Source organism: Homo sapiens, chromosome 3 (assembly GCF_000001405.40).
Source record: "Homo sapiens chromosome 3, GRCh38.p14 Primary Assembly".
Taxonomy (NCBI): domain Eukaryota; kingdom Metazoa; phylum Chordata; class Mammalia; order Primates; family Hominidae; genus Homo; species Homo sapiens.
The window spans coordinates 192182613-192205199 of NC_000003.12; the positions used below are offsets into that span (position 1 = coordinate 192182613).

General features: G+C 36.9%; 1 protein-coding gene across 7 annotated transcripts in view, besides 2 other annotated features; it reads right to left on the reverse strand.

Moving 5' to 3' along the window:
* The window catches only part of FGF12 (fibroblast growth factor 12), a 588152-nt gene that overhangs the window by 43223 nt on the left and 522342 nt on the right, over positions 1-22587 (reverse strand). The window lies entirely within an intron of this gene.
* Positions 3417-3927: an enhancer, noted in NCBI's record as "NANOG hESC enhancer chr3:191903818-191904328 (GRCh37/hg19 assembly coordinates)". NCBI's record gives its function as "activates a minimal SCP1, AML or CMV promoter by ChIP-STARR-seq in primed H9 embryonic stem cells {active_cell/tissue: H9 hESC(primed)}" and the evidence as "EXISTENCE:reporter gene assay evidence [ECO:0000049][PMID:30033119]".
* Positions 5819-5878: a silencer, noted in NCBI's record as "silent region_15006". NCBI's record gives its function as "represses an Ori minimal core promoter by ATAC-STARR-seq in GM12878 lymphoblastoid cells {active_cell/tissue: GM12878}" and the evidence as "EXISTENCE:reporter gene assay evidence [ECO:0000049][PMID:35858748]".

The window sequence follows — 22587 nt, forward strand, 5'->3', positions numbered from 1 at the left end:
GTCTATGTCCTGCTTAGACCACCAGAACTACACTGGACCTCAGTACAAGGGATATATATTAAAGCAAACAAACTCATCATTCTTTGAACTCTACTCGCTTCATTTTTCAGTATTTTCATGACTCAGATCAATCCCAACATCCAGGGGGCCCTGAAATTCCTCCTCCAACACTACCTAATTTTCTAATCAAAGCTGGAATGAAGGATGTAGGCTCTCCAGAAGATGATGACATTTCACCTGCGAATATGCAGTAAAGGGCTTTTATTGGGGGTCTTATGTTCCTGTAGGCATGACATAAAATTATGCCTACGGCCATGGGGAAGAAACAACTCCAGAATTTGTTTGTGTTACTTGTTTGCTCATTGGGTTTAAATTATACATTCATCTAAACATAGACTTCCTGCAGGTGATTACAATGCTCAGTGACTGAAACATTTCTCAGTGAGGAGAGACTATAATGGTCAATGAAGGAGAAACGTGGACTGGGACGCAGCATGTGGTGCAGTATTGCTGAGATATTGATGTGAGTACAGCAGACACCTCAAATCCTTTTTATGGATCTGGAGAGCATGTAAGATTTTTTTTTTTTAGAAAAGCAAAGAAGCCCCAACAACATGAAGATACCCAGCAGTGAGTAGGCTGAGATCTGACATCATATCCTTAGCAGAGCTAGAAACGCACATCTCACAGGTGTTTTCTGCTCAGACTCAATCAAGCCTGCATGGACTGTCACTCCAGCCACGTTCATTTTAACAGCCTAAAGAGTAATCTGCTAGATAAACAGTTCTGATGGCACTGAAAAGCCGGGGCTGTGTTTTTGAAAAAAATCTTTGCTGCAATGCTTCTTGCTGTGATGGTGTGTCCTCAGAATGAGAATGCAAAGTAAACACCTGCACCACCAAAGAAGAATGAAGACAGAGAGGCCTGGTTCACTTTATGCTTTATTTCTAAAGTCCCAGGAATATCATTTACCTGTATCATGTTTTGGATATACTACCATTTGGACAAAGAGATCACAAGTACACTTGTTTAATTTCATAAAAGGTACTAAAAAGAAAGTTCATAAGCTCTGTCCTCATCATAGAATCCTTGAAATCTAAAATTGCAAATATGTAGTTTGACTCTTCACTTTACAGATGAAGAAAGCAAGGCTGAGCAGGGGAAGGAATTAACCCGATCAAGACCATGGCGCTAAATAACAGCAGAATAAGGATTAGAACCTGCTCTCCAGTCCAGGGGTCTGCCCTCTCTTTGCCACAGTGGGTGCTTTGCTTATGATTTATGCGCTTTCGTAGATTAAGAATGATTAGCTAAAATAGACTTTTATAATCCAGGCATGGTGGCTCACACCTGTAATGCCAGCACTTTGCGAGGTCGAGGTGGGCAGATCACTTAACCCCAGGAGTCTGAGACCAGCCTGGGTAACATGACAAAACTGTGCCTCTACAAAAACATACAAAAATTACCCAGGCATGGTGACAGGTGCCTGTAGTTGCAGCTACTCAGGAGACTGAGGTGGGAGGATAGCTTGGGCCTGGGAGGCACGGGTTACAGTAAGCCAAGATTTTGCCACTGTATGCCAGCCTGAGCAACAGAGACCCTGTCCCCCAAAAATAAAATAAAATAGGCTTTTACTTTTAATTCAGCATATTTTCCATTAATCAAATGACTGACCAATGTGCTTCGGTTAATATAATAGTTGTTTTCACTTTGCTTACCGATTAGAGTGAATTCTCTGCTTTTAGACATTTTGGCTGCAGGTAGGAAGTTATTTGCTCTTGATTCCATAAAGCAGACACTAGTAATGTAAGAGCTGGCAAAGGGCAAAAAAGGGTGATTCTTTTTATATGAACAGGATAAAACCAGAGTAAGCTTGACCGATGGTCTGAATTAGAGATGGTGAATGGAGAAAATACTGTATTTTTCAAAGTAGAATTGCCATGTGTGGGCAAAGGGAACAATGGGTGAAAGGTCAGGGGAAGGCCAATCCAACTCTGAAAATCAATAGCCGTACTGCTACCTAATGATGCTATCAATGCACATTTTGAGTTCATTTGTGATTCAGAACTTATGATTTGATCCTAAAGTAATTTTCTCTAGCAAACTGAAAGTTGGCAAGTGCCTTCCTCAAAGCATCTTTGCAGACCCTACAAAAATGGTAAAGAAATGAAATCGTTCTCCAAACGTGTTTTATCTACCAATTTTCCCATTTACAGTGTTGGATTACAAATCCATAAAAAGAATTCAGATATATGTGGATAATTTACATTCTCTATCTTTACCACCAGATTGCTAAATCACCTCATATATGTGCCTCCATCTCATTAGGGTACTTGATATATATCTTATCACTTCTCACAGATTTCATTACAATTTATAGTTATTTCATTTGTTGTTACTACTGCTGTGCTTTCACATGTGGCAATTCCTCCCACCTATATCTGCAAATCCAAATCTCTCCTGGTCTTAAAGATCTAGTTCAAATTCAACTCCCTTCACAAAATTGCCTCTGATCCTGTCATCTAAAATTATCTCTTTCTCTTCTGACTCCCGTCATAGCTATTTATCTGTGGCTGTCTTAACATAATGATCACTTTGTATTACATATCATGTGTATTTGCAATGATGACATACTATATAGAACTCACTTGAGACCCCGGCCTCTGTCTTATTTCTCACTGAAATAAGATACTTGCACAGTAGCTGGCATCTGACACCCAGTAGCTCCTCCATAACTGTTTGTAAATGAGCTAATGAATGGAGGAGTCTAGCCTGTTCCATGTCGGGAGTAGTTTGATGAAATAGCCCTTGTAACGGCTTATGAAGCCTATTACAGATAGCTTCCAGCAGTAGACTTTCTACAAATCAACATAGCTAACAAAATTCAGAACTTAACTCAACTGTTTACATTTTCTTTTTTTTTCATGAATTTTTTTTTTAATTGAAAGGTAAAAGTTATAGCTAATAGGCCAGGCGTGGTGGCTCACGCCTGTAATGCCAGTACTGTGGGAGGCCTAGGCTGGTGGATCACGGAGTCAGGAGTTCAAGACCAGCCTGGACAACATGGTGAAACCCCATCTCTACTAAAAATACAAAAATTAGCCAGGCATGGTGGTGGGTGCCTGTAATCCCAGCTACTCGGGAGGCTGAGGCAGAGAAATGCTTGAACCCAGGAGGCGGAGGTGGCAATGAGCCAAGATCGCACCACTGCACTTCAGCCTGGGCGACAGAGCGAGGCTCCGTCTAAAAAAAAAAAAAAAGTTACAGCGAATAATTAATGGATCAGTAGCCTAAAAAATAACCATTTAATTTTTCAGAAAATATTCACTCATTGGTGAAAGAGAGAGAAAAAACATTAAAAAAATATAAACTGAAGCATACAATCTCAAGAAGCCTATAATATGAGAGAATAAACACAGGTATGATTCAACCTCCTCTTCACATTCTATGTTAGTTTACAAAAGATAGTGATTTTATGTTGAGTGTAAGAGATACTATTTTTTTTTCTTGAACTGAGAACCAATTGTGTAGAAATTCAAATATATGTTAACTTGATAAATGTCATTAACATGTATGAACCAAAGCAAACAGATGGTATTCTGGGACCTGGAGAGTATAAGGAAAATGCGAATACTTCTTTTCTGATGTTAATACTTTGAGAATTACATGTGAATCACTTAAGAGTAAATCCATTGTTTTGATACATTCTAAAATGTCAGGGTTCCTGTTCAGTTCATGACTACGTGGTGCCACCATCTTGCATAAAGCCTTAGACAAATGCTGTTTGATAAATACTTAGTGACATGTACATGATTTATTCTTATATATGTGGTTGTGCACATAGTAAGCCTACTAGAAAGAAGGCTATCTACTTCCTTTCTATAGACTCATTCTATTAAAGTTATTTTTCAGGAATATCGAATGAATAAACAATTTCTTCTTCAGATCATCAACTACAAAAACCATCAGTTCATTTTCTCTTACATTTGTGTGTGCGTGTGTGTGTGTATACTGCTACTTTATTTGAAAGGAGAATAATTTTGATTCATTTCCTGTTTTGATTTTCATGCTCTTGCAAAAAAATAAAATAAAGAACTGCGTTGGCAGTTTCAAGAACAACTGAAAAATCTATTGTTTAGTATGAGTCATGTCTCCTCTTGACCTTAAATTCTTTTATCTGCCTAAACTTCAGTTTTGAAGTTTGAGGTTCAATTGTTGATAAGCAGTTAGTATTTGATTTTGGTTCCCCCTGAAATGTACCAACACACTCAAACATAGTCTGCTCTTTTCAGATATTTTGCAGCTTGGCATTTTTAATTCTCTTCTCCTTAGTAGAAATCTGTATTAGTACAGATGAAGCTGAAAGGAAGCTTGGAATTCTTCTAATTGGAATTTCATCATTTTATAAAAGGAAGCCAACCTCACTACTGTTTCTGTTCTCTTAACTTGAAGCCAAGTAGCAGAGGGGTCACAGCATCTCATCAGTTTAGCTTGTATTCAACATGAATAGAATCTGACCATTTTCCCTAATAGAATCAGCATGCAAATTTCTAGCATTCAATTTTGAAAAGCTGTATTTAAAACTACTGTGTGGGAGAGCAGAACAATATGTGAAGGAGATATTATGCTAGAGTCGACGAGTTTTAGTTTCTGACATATATAGTCTTTTTTTGAGCAAAGGCAAAATTTATATAGTATATCTTATAATTTATCATAAACAGGTCAGTAAAACCATAAGCATATTTTTGCCTGCATTCTCAACTTCCACATATATTTTTAATGTAAAACAGCTATAAATGAGCCAGTCCAGGTAGAAAGAGAAGGTTAATGTGAAGTTGACCAAACAGCATTTGCTATTTAATTACACGATAGACACTAAAATAATTATGTAATTCATGTAGTCTTTTAGCTAACACTTAAATCCTGTCCATGTTCTAACTGGTTAATGATAAAGAGATTAATAAACAGTTTTTGCAGTCAAAGAATTTGCCATACTGTGAGGTATAAGATTAAGTGATAATGCTTCCTTCTTGAATAAGAATCAGGACCAAGGAGAGCTTCCTGAAGAGGCTGCTTTGGATTGACCCTTGAAGAATGTGTAGGAACTTGGAAGCAAATGAAGAGAGATAAACGAAAGGAGAGAGAGAAATAAATAGAACAGATGGAAAGAAAAAAGAAAAAAGAGAAAACTAAGAAAAGAAAGTGAAGGAAGGTGAAGAAAGGAAAGAAAAAGGAAGGGAAGGGAAAAGGAAGAAAGAATAGTAAGTTTTCCTCGACATGGGGGGTCAACTGTGGTTACCATATCACGGAAATAAACAGTAGCAGATCTATGTATTAGGAAATGAGAACGGAAAGACAAGTGAGGTTTAGAAAGTGGAGACATTCCTATTCTAGTCCCAGGAGTTTCAGAGACATTCCAGTGAAACAGAGAGCCAGGAAAGTTTCCTAAGGAGAGTAGTGGCCTCATGTATTTATTCATCAATGTATTATTTTATTAATCCAACATCAATTTATAATATTCTAATAATTTCATAATCATGTGATTCTAAGAATGAAATCTAGAATTCAAAGAGGTACTAGTGAGACAGCTTGAACTAAAAGACTGTCCAATGGCAGGAATTCTAAGCATAGGACCTCCATACTCTTTGCTCCACAAAACTCAGCACATTTCAAATTATGTTATTCTGTCCTCTTTACAGGTTAATGGGGATTACAGATTGAAACTACGCACGTGTTTTTGTGTTTCCATTTTCAGGTTGCTTTCCTGAGGTGGTACTTAACCTCCAATTAGAGAATGCCGCCACTAGGTGGCGGGGTGGTGACTTGGTTCCAAGAGGCTACAGTTGGTGGGACCAAGAAAGGGAGGGTTATGGGTCCCATGATTCTTATATCTATTTCATTTTTTCTTTCAAAAACTGCAGTGGACAGTTGAGAAATAAGCTTCGATAATAAGTTTTTAGAAACAACTAAGTGTGTCATGTGATACCTGGATGACAATACATTGTCTGAGAAATACAGTAAGACAAATGAAAACTCTGGGCTTTGATGCAAGACACTGAGTTTCAATTTTGCCTGTGCCATTTATTAGTTGAATGAAAAGCAGAAAGTTCCTTCATTTCTATGAGCGTTGGACTCATTTAAAACTTGAATCATCATACTTATTTCACAAGTCTGTTAGAAGACAAAGCCATGTGGTGCAATGTGCTTTGAAAAGAACGTGGGTAACCACCTAGATATGATCCACAAATATGCCTGATCCAATCCCAAGAGGTTTTTCAAGTTCACAACATTTCACATAGAAATGTAATCTCTAATTTCTTATGAAAAAGTCTGAAGTTCAGGTAACACTTCATCTTCATTCCTCTGTCTAAGAATTAGCTGGAGTTACGTGACCCAGGCTCCCCTCCCTACACATGAGTGTGCTAACACAGATTTAGGGGAAACTTGCCTGGGACTCCGGCACATCAATGTCAAAGAACTACTTGACATTTCATGCCAGCCGCAGCTTGTAGGCTTCCTCAGCCTCGGTTTCATGGTATCTCCAGTCCTGTTTAAGCCATCTAAAAGGGGCTTTTTTGATTTCCTTTGATTTATTTATTCTCCTTTCTTCCTTTACTTCCCATACTTGGAGGAATCCAATGGAGAAAGACAATATTAATTAGATAATCTTTAAGGGAGTCATACCCTCTCCTGTGACATAGGCATGCTTCTCAGTTCCAAAATAACAGAGAAATTTGACCTCTCCAAACAGAAATTAGCTGGCGACTGAATGCATTTATGTTAGATTAAAAAATGTAAAGTTGACGCACCTCTCTCCTCTCTTTGCCGTCTGTTACAAACTAAACTGTGCCTTCTCTCACCCCAAAATTTTTTTGTTGAAGCCCTATCCTCCCGGTACTTCAGAATGTGACTGTACTTGGAAATAGGACCTTTAGATGAAGTGAAATGAGCTGTTAGAGTGGGCTCTTTCCAAGCTGACTAGTGTCTTTATCAGAAGAGGAAATTTGGATATGCACAGAAACACCAGGCATGGTGTGCACAGAAAACAGCCACATGAAGAGGCAACAAGAGAGTAGCTATCTGGAAGCCACAGAGAGAGGTCTGAGGGGGAACCAACCCTGCCACTTTGACCTTGAACTTCCAAGATCACCATAACCACGAGAAAATTTATTTCTGTTGTTGAAACCATTCCGTCTCTGGTACTCTGTTATGGCAGCCTTAGCAAACTAATATACCGACCAAAGAGGATTCTGGTTTGGCTACCCAGTCCCTCCCTTTCCTCTTTCCTTTGAGCAGGATGTTTTAAGGACTTTTGTGTTTGACACTCAGGAGCAAGGGGGGATGGTGGGGGAGACTATGTGAAACATAGAAGGTCAAGGTGGAATTGTCCACTTTTTAATGGATCAGGACAAATTGAAAAAAGCATGGAAGCACTTAAGGTATGGCACATAGTTTATGAGAGCTAAGGAAAAGTTTTTTTAAAGTTATAAGAAATATAAAAAATTATTTTGAAATTATGTTGCATAGACTTTGCATTTTTATATAACTTCTCTAGGATCAAACACAGTGGTCAAAGCTTTATAGTTATTATATAACAATACATCTTCCCATAACAAGCATACAAACAAAAACACCTTTTATAAATTGCAACTAGTATGAAGTTTTATGTTTCAAAAATTCCTTATGTTTCAAAAACTATTTTAAAGGGCAAATGATTAATTCATTGAAAATATTTTAAAGCATCCACATTTTAGAAGAAAATTTAATGAATTATTTAACAGAGCTACAATATTCTTTTTATATAAACCAACTATACATTGATAATTAAAATCTGACAATCTGTAAGCCCAATACTCTTTTTTTTTTTTTTTTTTTTTTTTTGAGACTGAGTCTCGCTCTGTCGCCCAGGCTGGAGTGCAGTGGCGGGATCTCGGCTCACTGCAAACTCCGCCTCCCGGGTTCACGCCATTCTCCTGCCTCAGCCTCCCGAGTAGCTGGGACTACAGGTGCCCGCCACCGCGCCCGGCTAATTTTTTGTATTTTTAGTAGAGACGGGGTTTCACCGTTTTAGCCGGGATGGTCTCCATCTCCTGACCTCGTGATCCGCCCACCTCGGCCTCCCAAAGTGCTGGGATTACAGGCGTGAGCCACCGCGCCCGGCCCCAATACTCTTTTTGAATTATTCTTTATAAATCTCAATAGGTCAACATCTCCCCATGAAAAGAATCAGAATACAAATGATGTGATAATGCTCGTGAAATGGTCTTTCAAATTATAAAGTATCACGTATGTGCAACGGATTATTATTTATGACCCTTATCTGAAGAATGATGACTTCTTCAAAAGAATATTCATTATTTCTGTCGATTTCTTTAGGCTATCCTAAGAGTGAGCCTAAAAGAAAACAATAATAGATCTTGTATAATTAGACAAGATATTGTAAGGACACCTCTGTAATTTTTCTTGAAGGTACATCTTTCCCATCAGTACTTTTAGTATTGGTGACTACCCTGACATAATATGGAGAAGTATTTTCATAAGTAAAATAATGAAGTTCTACAAAACTATGAGGACAATAGAAAGATCAGTGGTGGCCAGGGATCCCAGGGGAAAAGTCAGGTGAATCCATGAAAAATAGAAAATTTTTAGGGCAGTGAAGCTACTCTGTGTGATACTATAATGGCTGATACATGTCATTATAGATTTGTCCACACTCGCAGAATGTAAAAAACCAAGAGTGAACCCTATTGTAAACTATTGACTTTGGTTGATAATGATATGTCAGTGCAGGGTCATACATTGTAACTAATGTGCCACTAATGCAGAAGATGCTGATAATGTGGAGGCTATGCATGTGTGTTTCAGGGAGTATATGGGATATCTTTGTAACTTTTTCTCCATTTTTCTGTGAGCCTAAAACTGCTCTAAAAATAGTCTTTAAGGCCAGGCACAGTGGCTCACGCCTATAATCCCAGCACTTTGGGAGGCTGAGGTGGGAGGATCATGAGGTCAAGAGATGGAGACCATCCTGGCCAACATGGTGAAACCCCGTCTCTACTAAAAATAACAAAAAATTAGCCGGGCATGGTGGCAGGCGCCTGTAGTCCCAGCTACTCAGGAGGCTGAGGCAGGAGAATGGCACGAACCCGGGAGGTGGAGCTTGCAGTGAGCAGAGATCACGCCACTGTACTCCAGCCTGGGAGACAGAGCGAGACTCCGTCTCAAAAAAAAAAAAAAGCCTTTAAAAAACTAATAACAAAGCCCTAAACAAATAGCAGGGATAAAGAAAGATACACAGAGTAGGGGAAAGGTTCCCCAGAAAATAAGAGAATTACACTGAATAATTTTTAAGTTCATTTTATGTGTTTGTCACATAGGCATGGGATAACATCGTGTGCCTTTCAACACACTAAGCATACAACAGTGGTAAAATCTGGTGCTCTGGCATAAACCTTCAGGACAAACTCTAGAGAAATCATTCTTCAATCTCATTGGATCCAAAAACTTTAACATGCTAAATGAAGATCTGTCATAATTAGAGCTGGAAGTCTTGCTCTCCTAACTTTCACTTAATGGAGAAATAATAAAATTATTACTAGCTTCATACTTTTCTTACAAGTTGATCAAAATGGAACTATTTAGCTGTTGATTATGGACTTTTTGGTAGAAAGGGAAATTATCTTTCTCTCATTGTCTCTTAGGCTTACAAAAATTTATAAGTATTTTATTTTATTCAAATTATATATACACATTTACACATATACTTTTCATAGAAGAAAATTTGTAAGATTTTTTGTTCAAATCATATATGTACATATAATTATATATGATAAATATATAATTATATTACATATAATAAATATATAATATAAATATATAATTACATGTTATATATAAATTATATATATACACACACAGTGGGGCAGGAAACAAGACAGATCTTCGCACTTGAAACAGGTTTTTAATATAACTAGTAATAACTTTTTTCTTCTCTCCACACTTTTATTATGCATTCTTTCCCTGTGGAATTATAGAATCACAGTATTTTCAAACTTAAAAGGGAGAACATTTGATTTTTACAAAGAAATAGGTCCTGAGTGAGACAATGAAAAATAAAAGAAGTGTCTTTAATTCTATATTGTTGCATTAAGTCTGCCTTCAACAGGTATTTATGAATACCTGCAGTTATTTTTTATTCATATAATACATCAGCGCATACATAGCATATCATTGTGTAAATACAGCATTGAGATGTTTGTTATTTTAAGTAGGAAGCATTTTGCATCATGAACTGTCAATAAAAATGAAATTAATGACAATATATAATCATGTAAGCAGCAGTGTCAAGAATACTTTTAGCACCTATACTGAGTGAAATATTGTTGCTGTAATTGTCTTTTTGGGAGGTAGGAAGAACATAGAGCAGGACAAGATTCGATCCAGGTAGAACAGAAGTTGGGTATCAGTGGTCTGGGTTCTCAAGCTCACTTCTTTCAGAGACCAAAAAAAGTTTCATAAATGCCATGTGTATTCTTAAATATTCTAAATATTTTAACTCTGCCCATGATATGGTTTGACTTACTTCCTGGTCTCGCTTGCCTTGCTCTAGATCTGTTCTGGATTGTCAATGTTCCTATTAAAATATGACTCCAATAAAGGAATACATACTTTAGATATAATCTGATCTGAGGTGACAAGAGAACAACTTCAACTCTTATGCCTTGGATATGATACTGCCACGATCACCCCATCACTGTCTTGGACTCCAACACTGGACTGCACAGAATACTCAGAAGGGTGCTCATTTTCTTCTACAGGTAATAAAGGACTCACTCCTCAGCAGTGATCCAAGTTTCTTTTCCTTTTAAGTAGGTTCTCATAATCAGCTTCCTTTATCAGCAGCCCTAACATTATAATCATCAAATTTATTTGACATTCTCTTACCAAACATACCTCTTCTCTTGAAGATTAATGATTAGAGTTACTTTGGTTAAAAATCAAGTATCATTTCCAGAATACACTCTATAGTCTCACCCTATGTCATCTTCCATTTTCAACATCACTGGTCAATAACATGACTCTATACCTATCTTGGAATGATTCCCCAGTCCTTACTGAAACACTTTTAAATACTAGAAAGCAGCCACTGTCTTCTTTTTTTTTTAAGGATATTTTTATTCCAAATGCATTATAATTTGTATATGTACCATCAGCGTGATTCTCAGGAATACTTCTGGCCTGTCCTACAAAGCAATTACAGTCGGCTCATCTTCGTGTACTTGAGTTTGACTGTGAATAAATAGCTTTCTCAACTTTTCTTTCTACCAAATATACATACTGGGCCAGCAGGGATGTGTAGTATGTAGAAAAAATAAAAGCAATATTTTTCTAGCTAAAACAACGTCACTTCTCCAACTCATACAGCCCTGTATTTCTGGTCCTAACATAATGTTCAAAAATAAATCTGAGCGGTTTTAAATGTAGGCACATATTTTATAAAATGCATAGCTTTCTATTCCTTCAAGCAGCTGATTTATATAAAGCAGAAATCCATTCACATAGGTCAGAAATTTGTAAAATGTATGACAAGAGATTTAGCTCATTATGCTTATCTTGTGGTCTGCCCAAATTGTTAAAGCTTGTGCCTCAAAGTATGCTGAGCCTCTTTGGCACACTGACCCAGTGATTAGTATTTTCTCACCCAGTGCAAGGATAATGCATACCTCAGAGGATCAGGTGGTAACTAAAATCATTGAATCAGGCTGAGTGAGAGCTATGAAACTCTGGAGATTCTCATTTCTCCACTTACAAAATGAAACTGTGGCTTAGAGTCTAATTGACACTGATAATACCATAGAGCTATACATTCATATTACTCTGGATGAAATTTTCATTCACAGCACTAAACATCTGGGTATTTCCACATGGACTTATTTTCATATATATTTAGATGTTTGACAACCTAAAAATAAAATAGTATATACCTGGTGGAATTTTTCTTTCTGTCCATGACTATCATATGGATGGATTCAGAGTGTGTCAAGTTTTTCCTGATAGGATACTCATAGAAATGTAACTTTATTAACAGTTTAAAAACCAATACTATCTTTGAAACATTGTGGAGTCTATTCACTCTACCTAACTATAATAAGACTTTTTAAATGTACGCTTTTTTAGTAAGGAATTTGATCATTTTTATAACATATTTTTCAGATTTCTCACCAATAAAAAATTAAAATACAGTGCAACCAATATTAAATGTTAAGGCTTAATTTAACTAATTTATATAGCAAGGATTTACAAGATACCTGCTTTGGGTCAGATATCGTGCAAAGGGTTGTGGTAAAAGAAGCATGCTGACTGACTTTGTCCTCAAGTGGTTTACAGTTTAATGGAGAAAAGCATCTCCACCAAGTATTCTGTCTCCCATTGTGGTTGTCTTGGAGCCAGAACTAGGATGCAGATTGGCAGTCCTATACGTAGCCCGGAGGGCCCACCAATTGCTTACCTCTTTCAACAAAGGCATCGTGAACTCTCATTTTGAAGTGGGAACAAAACAAATTTTTTTTATATGTAATGTATCATTGGCCTTTTGTGTTATTTTTCATGAGGATTTTATTTCAACTAAAGTCGTTACCATTTAAATGATCAAAGAGAAAAGTCAGAGTCCATGATTTTTGTTACACGTTTATAATGACAGATACAGTTATACGTATTTATCGTGTACAACATGATGTTTTGAAATACAGTCATGCACCTCAAAACATTTAGGTCAAAAACAGAGCACATGTGCAAATGGTGGTCCCATAAGCTTGTAACACTGAAGTTTTTACTGTACCTTTTCTATGTTTAGATACAAAAACACTTACCGTTATTTACAATTGCCTACATTATTCCATAAATGGACAGGTTTGTAGCCTAGCGGCAATAGGCTGTGCCACATAGTGTAGGTGTATAGTAAGCTATACCGTCTAGTTTTCTGTAAGTATACTCTACGATAGTCACACAATGAACTTGCAATAATGACAAATTTCTCACAATGTATCCCCATTGTAAGCAATGTATAACTATATGTATATACATATACACATTTCACAATGTGTGTGTGTATATATATGTATGTATGTGTATATATGTATGTATGTATGTATGTGTGTATACACACACACACGCACACACACACACATTGTGAAATGGTTAAATATACCTAAGTAACAAATGTATTACCTCATCTAGTTATCACTTTTGTGGTAAGACCACTTAACATCCACTTTGCATTTTTCAAGAGTACAATATGTCTTCTTTAACTACAGTCACCATGCTATAGAAGAGATCTCTTGAACTTAACTCCTCCCATCTAACTGTATTACATACACTTTGAGGAACATTTCTCCATTCCCCCTTCCCCCAACCACCCCAGCCTTTGGTAACCACTATTCTATTCTCTACTTCTATGAGTTTAGAGTTTATAGATTCTACATGAGTGCGATAATGTGGTATTTGTTTTTCTGTGTCTAGCTTATGTCACATAATATAATATCCTCCAGTTTCATCCATGATTTCAAAGAGATTGGCACTCCCATGTTTATTGCAGCACTATTCACAATAAACAAGATAATGGAATCAACCCAAGTGTTCCTCAATGGACGGATGAAAAAAGAGTCCATCAACTTTAAAAGACACAAAAGACTGTTCCAAATATTACCTTAAAAATTGAGATTTAAAAACTAATCTGGGTAAATAGCACATTTTTTAATTCCTTGGGCAAAGTTTTTAAATGGGAGTGTTAGAACACAACAAAATGTAATGCTCTGAAATGTAAAAGATCATTATAAACAATAGAGAGGTGAGATGCCACTTTTCATTTTTTAGCCAATACTTAGAGCTTATTAGATAAGCATATCTGATGGGACAGTAGAGCTTTTTAATTGCCTGGGAGACAAAAAAAAAATCCCATCTATGCCATAAAGCTGTTTAGCAACATGTTTGGCTGTAAAGAATGTGAAATGTAGATAAAATTAATAACTAAAATATTCTAGGGTGTAAATTTCTAACTTTCCGTCAAAAATAACACTCTAAATGTGAACCATCAAGGTAGACGTGACAGCATTTTGTAGCATTCTTTCCACCATTTAAATCTATTTAGTTTTTGTGTGTGACAATTTGACAGTCTTGAGCATACAAATGAAGACACAGGGTAAAATTATAGATTCAGTTTTCAGAGACCATATTTGCAAAGACAAGTATTTTTTTTTTTCAGCAAGAAATCAACTAAGCAGTAGTTACAGAAAATAACTTAATAAGACAGTGAACAGAAAACCAGTATCTACTTAACAGACTCAGGAAAGAGATCGGTTATGAGATGCTTGGGGTTTCTGTTTTTGTTAGATAAGATGTGCAGTTACCAGAAATCTAAGGAAAGGTAAGAGCCCCCTCAAAGATTTCCCTTAGAATTAATTATCTAAAAATTATAATGGATTACTGTTCCTATTGATTGCTTAGATTTGGCCCACCACAATCTCTGATTCGGCAGTACATGTGCAATTTTCTATAAGTCTTTCTGGAAAATCCTAGTATAAAAATGTATTTTTAGTGATGTTTGTTTTACACTCTGTATTCTTCTCGGTGCCTACATGAAACTCTATAGACAGTTACTGTGAACTTCAAGATCAGGCAATCAGTTTCAAACACGTATCGTGTGTCCTTCTGTACTCATTTTTAAAGATGTTTAATATTCAGTGTGAGGTTTTTATATTGGGGATAAAACGAAGTCTGCGTTATATGAAATTTAATTTTGAAGGTAACGACATTTGAACTGCAGTGTTGTGTTGTTATATCTCCTTTTTTGTCTAGCTTTTATAAAATGATCTAGATTAAGTACCATAAAGATCATAAGGACCTTATAAGTCCCTCTGCATTTGAAACAGTGAAGGGAAATGTGTTGCTTTCACATTTCCATCCTATCCAAGGGGCCTCTACAGTGCCTGAACTCACCAATGAGGTAACAGATGAAGGGAGAATAGTGATGGCCTTTACAAAGCCCTCCTGGGGGCCGGATGTGGTGGCTCACGCCTATAATCCCAGCATTTTGGGAGGCCGAGGCGGGAAGATCACCTGAGGTCGGGAGTTTGAGACCAGCCTGACCAACATGAAGAAACCCCGTCTCTTTTAAAAAAATACAAAGTTAGCCGGGCGTGGTGGTACATGCCTGTAATCCCAGCTACTTGGGAGGCTGAGGCAGGAGAATCACTTGAACCCAGGGGACGGAGGTTGCAGTGAGCTGAGATCATGCCATTGCACTCCAGCCTGGGGAACAAAAGCGAAATTCCTCCTCAAAAAAAAAAAAAAAAAAAAAAAAAGTCCTCCGGGGGTCCCGAGTGCCAAACTACAAAGCCAACTTTTTTTTTTTAACTTCTTCTCTCACAATATCAGCAAATTTGCTGTCAACAAACTTCTTAACTTTATAGTTTTGTACAAATTTTGAATAAAAGAAAGACCCCAAAGGATCCAGAACGGTGCATCCATTCTAAAGGCAGAGAGCTGAGTATTTTGTATTCTGATAAAAAGATATGAAAAGCAAATGAATCACATAAATAGGATTAGGAGAGAATGTTCAACTTTTTTATGACCAAAATGTTTTCAGGCACTTGAAAATTAGAAGCAAATGTTCACTGATGGCGATTAGGGAATTAATGGCCTTTAAAACTGACAAGATTTTTTTCATTGCTTTAGTTAATATCTATTTTCTAACCTTTAACCTGAGTAAAAAAGAATCTGTACATTAGATTGAGCATAAAAACCACTGAGCAAATGAAAAAAAAAGCTAAAATCAGTAATAATGCTCACTAAATTTGTAAATGTTGAAATGCTGCTTTACCTTTCATGACCTCACTTATTCAGCCATGAAAAAAGGGTGAGAGAAGGAAGGCAGCAAGATAATTTCTATATCTGTTCTCTAGGTATAAGTGCCTATGAGTCTAAAATAGACTGCTGAGGATATTAGAAAGATTTCATGAAAATTAAGATTTGGGGAATATAAAAAAGCTTACAAATCTGATGTTCTCCAAATTCCTGAAATTTGTAATTACCAATATCATGACCCAACTGGTTAGAAATATGTAAATAACTAAGGAATGTTTTGAAAAGTCCTAATTATTACAGTGAAGAGGTAAATAAGGTCAACATGCTAGTGTCCACCATCAAAAGGAAATTTCATGTTGTTTACTCAGCTTCTCTGGACACTACCAGAGACACAGCTCTTAGTGGCTTTTAAGGTAGTTTCTTCATCACTGGGCAATAGTTCATTAACAGACTATCCCAAACTTATATAATCTTTTCATTCTGGAAAATTTTACACATGTGTTGTTTAGGTTAATCAGGAGAAACAAAGACTAATCAGAATAATCTTTAGTAGTAAGCTAATTTAGCTCTTCTCAGCACCGTTTCAAGGAAGATATGTGCAAGATGTGTGAACAAATGGGAAAGAGCTGAAGTCAGTAACAATGCTAACTAAAGTTGCAAATGCTGACATGTTACTTCGTCTCTCTTGGCCTCACTTATTCATAAAATGGGGCAAGGGGAGAAAAGGGATGAGATAATCTCAGATCTGTTCTATGTCTAAGAGCCTATGAGCCTAAAACAGAATGCTAACAAAATTGAAAAGGAAAACTAAGTAGTAAGTGTACTGAGTTGTGCTCCTGTTCAGTCTTTTTCTATTCAACCTCCCTAACGTTTCACTCAAGGATAGCATTTCATGTAAGACATACATCATAACAGTTCAGATCAGATGTCCTCCGTATTTGAGATTTCTTACTTTCTTGAGAGGGAAGGAGATGATTAGGACAAAGAAACAGCATTGTCTGCAAATACCAAGTAGCTTAGTGAAGCCAGCTAACAAATGGAGGCCAAATGTATATGTGGCCTTCTTTCACAAGCAGGCCAATAAATGTAGAAACCTCACCTAACCTGCATTTGGTTTGAGAGCCAGTGCATGAAGTTTAGGAATAAAGGATAATTATTTGGCCATCTGAGAAAAGCTAAATCTTGTAAGTGGGTATTAAAAGATGCAATAAATGATATTCCTTGCCAATCTGAAAAGGCAAAAAATAAAAAGGTAGTCTAGCTGTTTATGAGATCTAACTCCTCCCTCCTCCTCCCACTCTGAAAACAGTGAAGATGAAAGTGATTGTATCATACGCCACTCTTACGCCAGGAAAGCTCAAGAATAAAACCATCACAGTTCAGATGGACTAAAGGGTATTTTCTAGGTTTATGACCAGAATGATTCATATATCAAAGGCCAATCATATACATGTACTTGCTCAGGGATTTTCAAGTCGATTTCTTAGAGATGAAACGTACTGCTCCCTGGCTCCAGGAAACAGAGCAATGCTAAAGAGGTAAATCAAAACAGCAATAGAAAGGCCGGGTGCAGTGGCTCACTCCTGTAATCCCAGCGCTTTGGGAGGCCGAGGTGGGTGGATTGTCTGAGCTCAGGAGTTTGTGACCAGCCTGGGCAACATGGTGAAATCCCATCTCTAATAAAATACAAAAAAAAAAAAAAATAATTAGCCGGGTGTGGCTGCGTGCTCCTGTAGTCCCAGCTACTCCGGAGGCTGAGTCAGGAGAATTGCTTGAACCCAGGAGGCAGAAGTTGCAGTGAGCCGAGATTGTGCCACTGCACTCCAGCATGGGTGACAGAGCAAGAGTCCATCTTAAAAAAAAAAGGCAATAGAAATTATTCATGTTTGGGAACATGAAGATATTAAAATCATAATAAAATGAGAATGCCAATCAAACAGGAATAAAAACACTTGCTGTGTACTGTTTCTCCTTCTCCAGTTTAAACCAGAAAAACACTAGATCCAAGAGATAACATGTAATACATTAAGAAAGAAACTTTCACGTAGGAAGCCAAATATCCTCCCACATTGTTTCCCCCATATGTGTACACTAATTACTGGAGCATCTTCACATGCCAGCGATTATCAAAGCCTCACAAGTGTAGACTGCAGTGTCAGTGAGTGCTTGGTAAGACAGACCAAACTCCGTCAGTACCTTGCCATGTGATCCTGGACAAGACATACTTGTCCTCTCATGGTCATTAAAATGGGAGAGGGAATGGGGACAAGATGCTATCTCGACTCTTTACAGCACCATAGATTTAGTTTCTCTAGCAAGGCCTATGCTCCTTAAGTTTATGGATGTCACAAAGTGGTTCTGTATTTTATATTATTTGTCAGAAGATTAGTAATAGGCTCCCATTAGAACCAGAAGAACCAGGCTTTTGTGTGAAAAAAAAAAAATGAGTGAGTAGGCTACCTCAGTACTTTAAGAGATGGTAAAAGTATCCTGCTTTGACAGCCAGGTGAAAAAGCTAATAAAAGCACAGAAAGTTTTCATAAAGGGGTACAGCTTCAGATGTCTCCAGATAATCCCTCTGTTAATTGTGAAGGGTCATCTGTAGGGGGCCACTGGTATATATCTCTTTACTAAGTTAGCTGGTTAACACTGGATCCTTAGGGAATGAGATGATGTATGAATATGGAAGGAGTCAAGGTGCTAAGCTGTACTTTATGTTCTAAATGTGTAATTTCCTCTGCTTTCTTGATTGATCTCTTTAGCATTGTCCTGTTTTCTAAAGTCAAATTTTGACACATATTGGATGGACAACAGATTTCATTATATGTGTGGGGGAATGGAAATGGAACACAACAACTGAAATGGAAATATTCAGAAAGGGGCAGGCAAGGGCAAAGCTTTATCAAGAAGGTGTGAGTGGACACCTACTCTACAGGTCTTTAAAATTCATTTTTATGCATTTAATTAACACTTGCCATTTTACAAAATACAATGTCAATGTGAGTTATTTGACATTATCCTCACCACATCTCCATGCAGTAAGCCCAGAGACTACAGTTTAGAGAACTGATATAGCTCCAATCAGGCCACACATCTTGTAACCCGCAGAGCTTGAATAGGAACCCAGTCTTATATTCATCCCTCTCTGTATACCACCACCATCAGCCCATAACTGTGGAAACTCTATTAGCCTAGGAACTCATTAAAATCATGTTTACACTTTTACTAACTTAAAATCATATTTATTTAACTAGATGTCTCATTAGCTTATTGAAGTCATTACTGCCTGTCAGTCAGAGAAAGCAAACGAATGAATATTCTTCATAATAGAAGAGCAAGCAGGACTGTAATTAATGACTTTGCTAATAACAGCCCCGTGTTTGTGCACATTGATTTTCAGATATGGAATATACACATAAACCTCTGGGGAACAATGTTCTTCTATTTACCAAGAACAAATCTACTAATAGTTATTAACAATACATTCTTTAAAAGGCTTTATTTCTAATAATCTCTTACATATGGATGTTTCTTCAATGTGAATTACCAAATTGACTTTGAACAATTTATGCTGCCAAATTTTTCCATTTATCTCATTCAGATGACAAAAGTAAATACACCAAAGATTATTTCTATGCAAAAATGTCTTAAGTGGAGTGGTATTTGAGATGGGACCCTGAAAAAAAAAGTAAGGTATCCAACAGAAAGTTCCAATGCAGAAGGAATGCAAGATGAAGGAAACAGCAAAAGAAACAGACAGATTGAGGAAGTGGCACAGTTCCCAAGAACAGAGATTGGCCCGGTAGCTCTAATGAAAGCATTAGAGGAAAGATCTAAACAGAGTTTTGATGTCAGGCTTTGGAAGGTCATGAGTACTTTGTCTACATGATAGCAAAATCCAAATATTTAAAGCCACAGATAACTGCCCAAGATTTTTGTCTCCATTTGTGTTTGGTCTTAGGCACAGATTTATTATGTGCCTGTTCTAATTAATGTAGGCAAAAACACTGTTTTTTAATTGAAATAAGCACTTTCTGTTTTCATACAACACTGAAGCAAATGCTAAGCTGGAAGCTTTTATTTTTGTTTTTGACAACGGTTTCTTTAATTGTAAGGGAAAATCAAGAAAATATTTAATTTTGTCTCATATCCGAATAGTAGAGGAAAGGCCATATTGTTGGAATGCAGTGATGGGAGCTCTATTATTCTCCCTATGTGAATTTGCAGCATTAGCATCTCTGAACTACGGGTTCTATCACCAGAAAGTTGAGGATACCAGTAATTACCACTTTACTTGCTTAGAGGAATACAAATTATAATGTATATGACAAGGCTTTGCAACTTAAAAAGTGCTATAACACAGTGAGCAGCTCTCTACGTGAAGCTGATAAAGACTGAAAAAAATAAGGTTAAGAACTTGTGATTATTTTATATTTATTTTCTATATTTCTAGTGCTTGCTCCTGATATCAATGAAGAAAAGTGGGAAATACAGCCTGCTAAACAGTGCTTGATGGTAAAAATACAATGCTAAAGCATTTCATTGGCTCAGCTACTTTTATTTTCAAAAACTTCAGTCTATATATAATATTAGGAGGAAAAGACTAGTCAAAGTATTGTTTAGATTTTTTTTAAAAATGTACTTAAAAGCATTAAATATTTGTGTGTGTGTGTGTGTGTGTGTGTGTACATGCACACTAGGTAAAAATAATGTTCTTCTGTAGTTTAGAGGACTGATAGAACTAATTTGGTATTTTCTTTCCTTATAAGTTGTAGATTTCATATGCATTTGTCTTATAACCTGTTTTTTACCTTGACCTAGCTTAATGATCCTTCTAAACAAGATATTCTCTAGTTAAAAGGAATTAGAATTATGTGAAATTGACTTGGGAGGTAAAACTTTATTTTCATTCATTTGCACATATCCTTATTGAAAAGTATAAACAAAGTTAAGATTTGGAAGGCCATGCTAAACTCTTCTGTAAATATCACATGTCTATATGTCTAAGGATTTGGATACATGTTGCATTTGAAGTAGCTTAGGTGTCTCTAATAAATGAGTCAGCTTACAAGCTTACACTCTTTTTTCTTTACTTTTTTTTTTTTTTTTTTGAAGATAGGGTCTTACTCTGACACCCCAGGCTGGAGTGCAACGGCACAATCATGGCTCACTGCAGCCTTGACTTCCTGGGCTCAAGTGATCCTCCCATCTGAGACTTCCAAGTAGTTCAGATTATAGATTATAGATTACAGACTTCCAAGTAGTTCAGATTATTAGCTGTCACGCCCACCTAATTTTTAAAATTTTTTTGTAGAGACAGGGTTCTCACTATGTTGCCCAGGCTGGTCTTGAACTTTTGGCCTTAAAAAATCCTCCTGCTTTATACTTCCAAAGTGCTAGAATTATAGGCATGCATCACCATGCCCAGCAATTTACTTTCTTTACTATGATTTCAATTTTAGACATGTCAGGGGCCTCCCTGAATAACTGCACTTTTTAGAAATAAAGGCCAGTGGTTCATTGGCCAAAAAGAATTTGTCGTTAAAAAAAAAGCAAATCTGTCCGATTTATTAATTATGATTGTGTGATTTGATCCAACCAATGATAGATGGCAAATTTCACTTTTCAATTTGTCTAGGTATTAGATGAAGGTCACCCAAAAACTGAGTTGGAAAAAAAACTTGAAAAGGAATCCATCTAATCCATGTCTTTTAGCCCCACACACGGCAGATCTGAGCAAAAAGATGAAAGAAAATTCCATTTTCTTTATCACAGAGCAAATAAGAGTCTCAACATGCAAAGCTGTACAGCAGAACTTTCTCTAATGATGGAAATGGTATACCTCTGCACTGTCTAATACAGTAGACACATACCACATGTGACTACTGAGCAGTCAAAATGTGGTTATTATGACTGAGGAACTAAATTTTAAATAGCCATATTTGTTTAGTGTCTACTATATTAGAGAGTGCCACTAAATATTTTAGTCACACTTTACTGAAGCAAGAATTGTAAAGTGCCACAATCCAGGCAGATAAATATGCTGCATTTTAATAACCTGTGAAGTCAGGTTGTTGCCTTTTATGCAGGTCCCATAATATCAGGAGTTCACTTTCAGATTTGCACTTGGAGCCAGGAGTGGTGGCTCAGGTTTGTAATCCCAGCACTTTGGGAGATCAAGGTGGGTGAATCACTTGAGGTCAGGAGTTTGAGACCAGCCTGGCCAACGTGGCAAAACCCCATCTCTACCAAAAATACAAAAATGAGCTGGGCGTGGTAGCATGCACCTGTAGCCTCAGCTACTTAGGAGGTTGAGGCAGGAGAATTTCCTGAACCTGGGAGGCAGATGTTGTGGTGAGCCAAGATCGCACCAAGACTGTACTCCAGCCTGGGCGATAGAGTGAGACTCCATCTCAAAAAGAGAAAAAAAAAGAAAGTAAGAAAGAAAGAAAGAAAGAAAAAATTTGCACTCCTTGGAAGAAGTATGCACAGCTCTGCTTCATTATCTCTGCATTTCTCTTCCTTAGACTTGGTCACTATTGATTTTCTACTCTCCTAAGTTTGGACTGCTCATTCCTCCTAATATAAATGCTGTCTAAGCATGTGTTGTGGAAGAAGTATCCTCTGTTATCTTTTGGGAGGACAAATTATGACAGCCATTAGAAAAAAAAAGATTAATCTAATTTAGAAAATCTCTTAGTGTAATAGGTCTTTAAGTAGATTTTT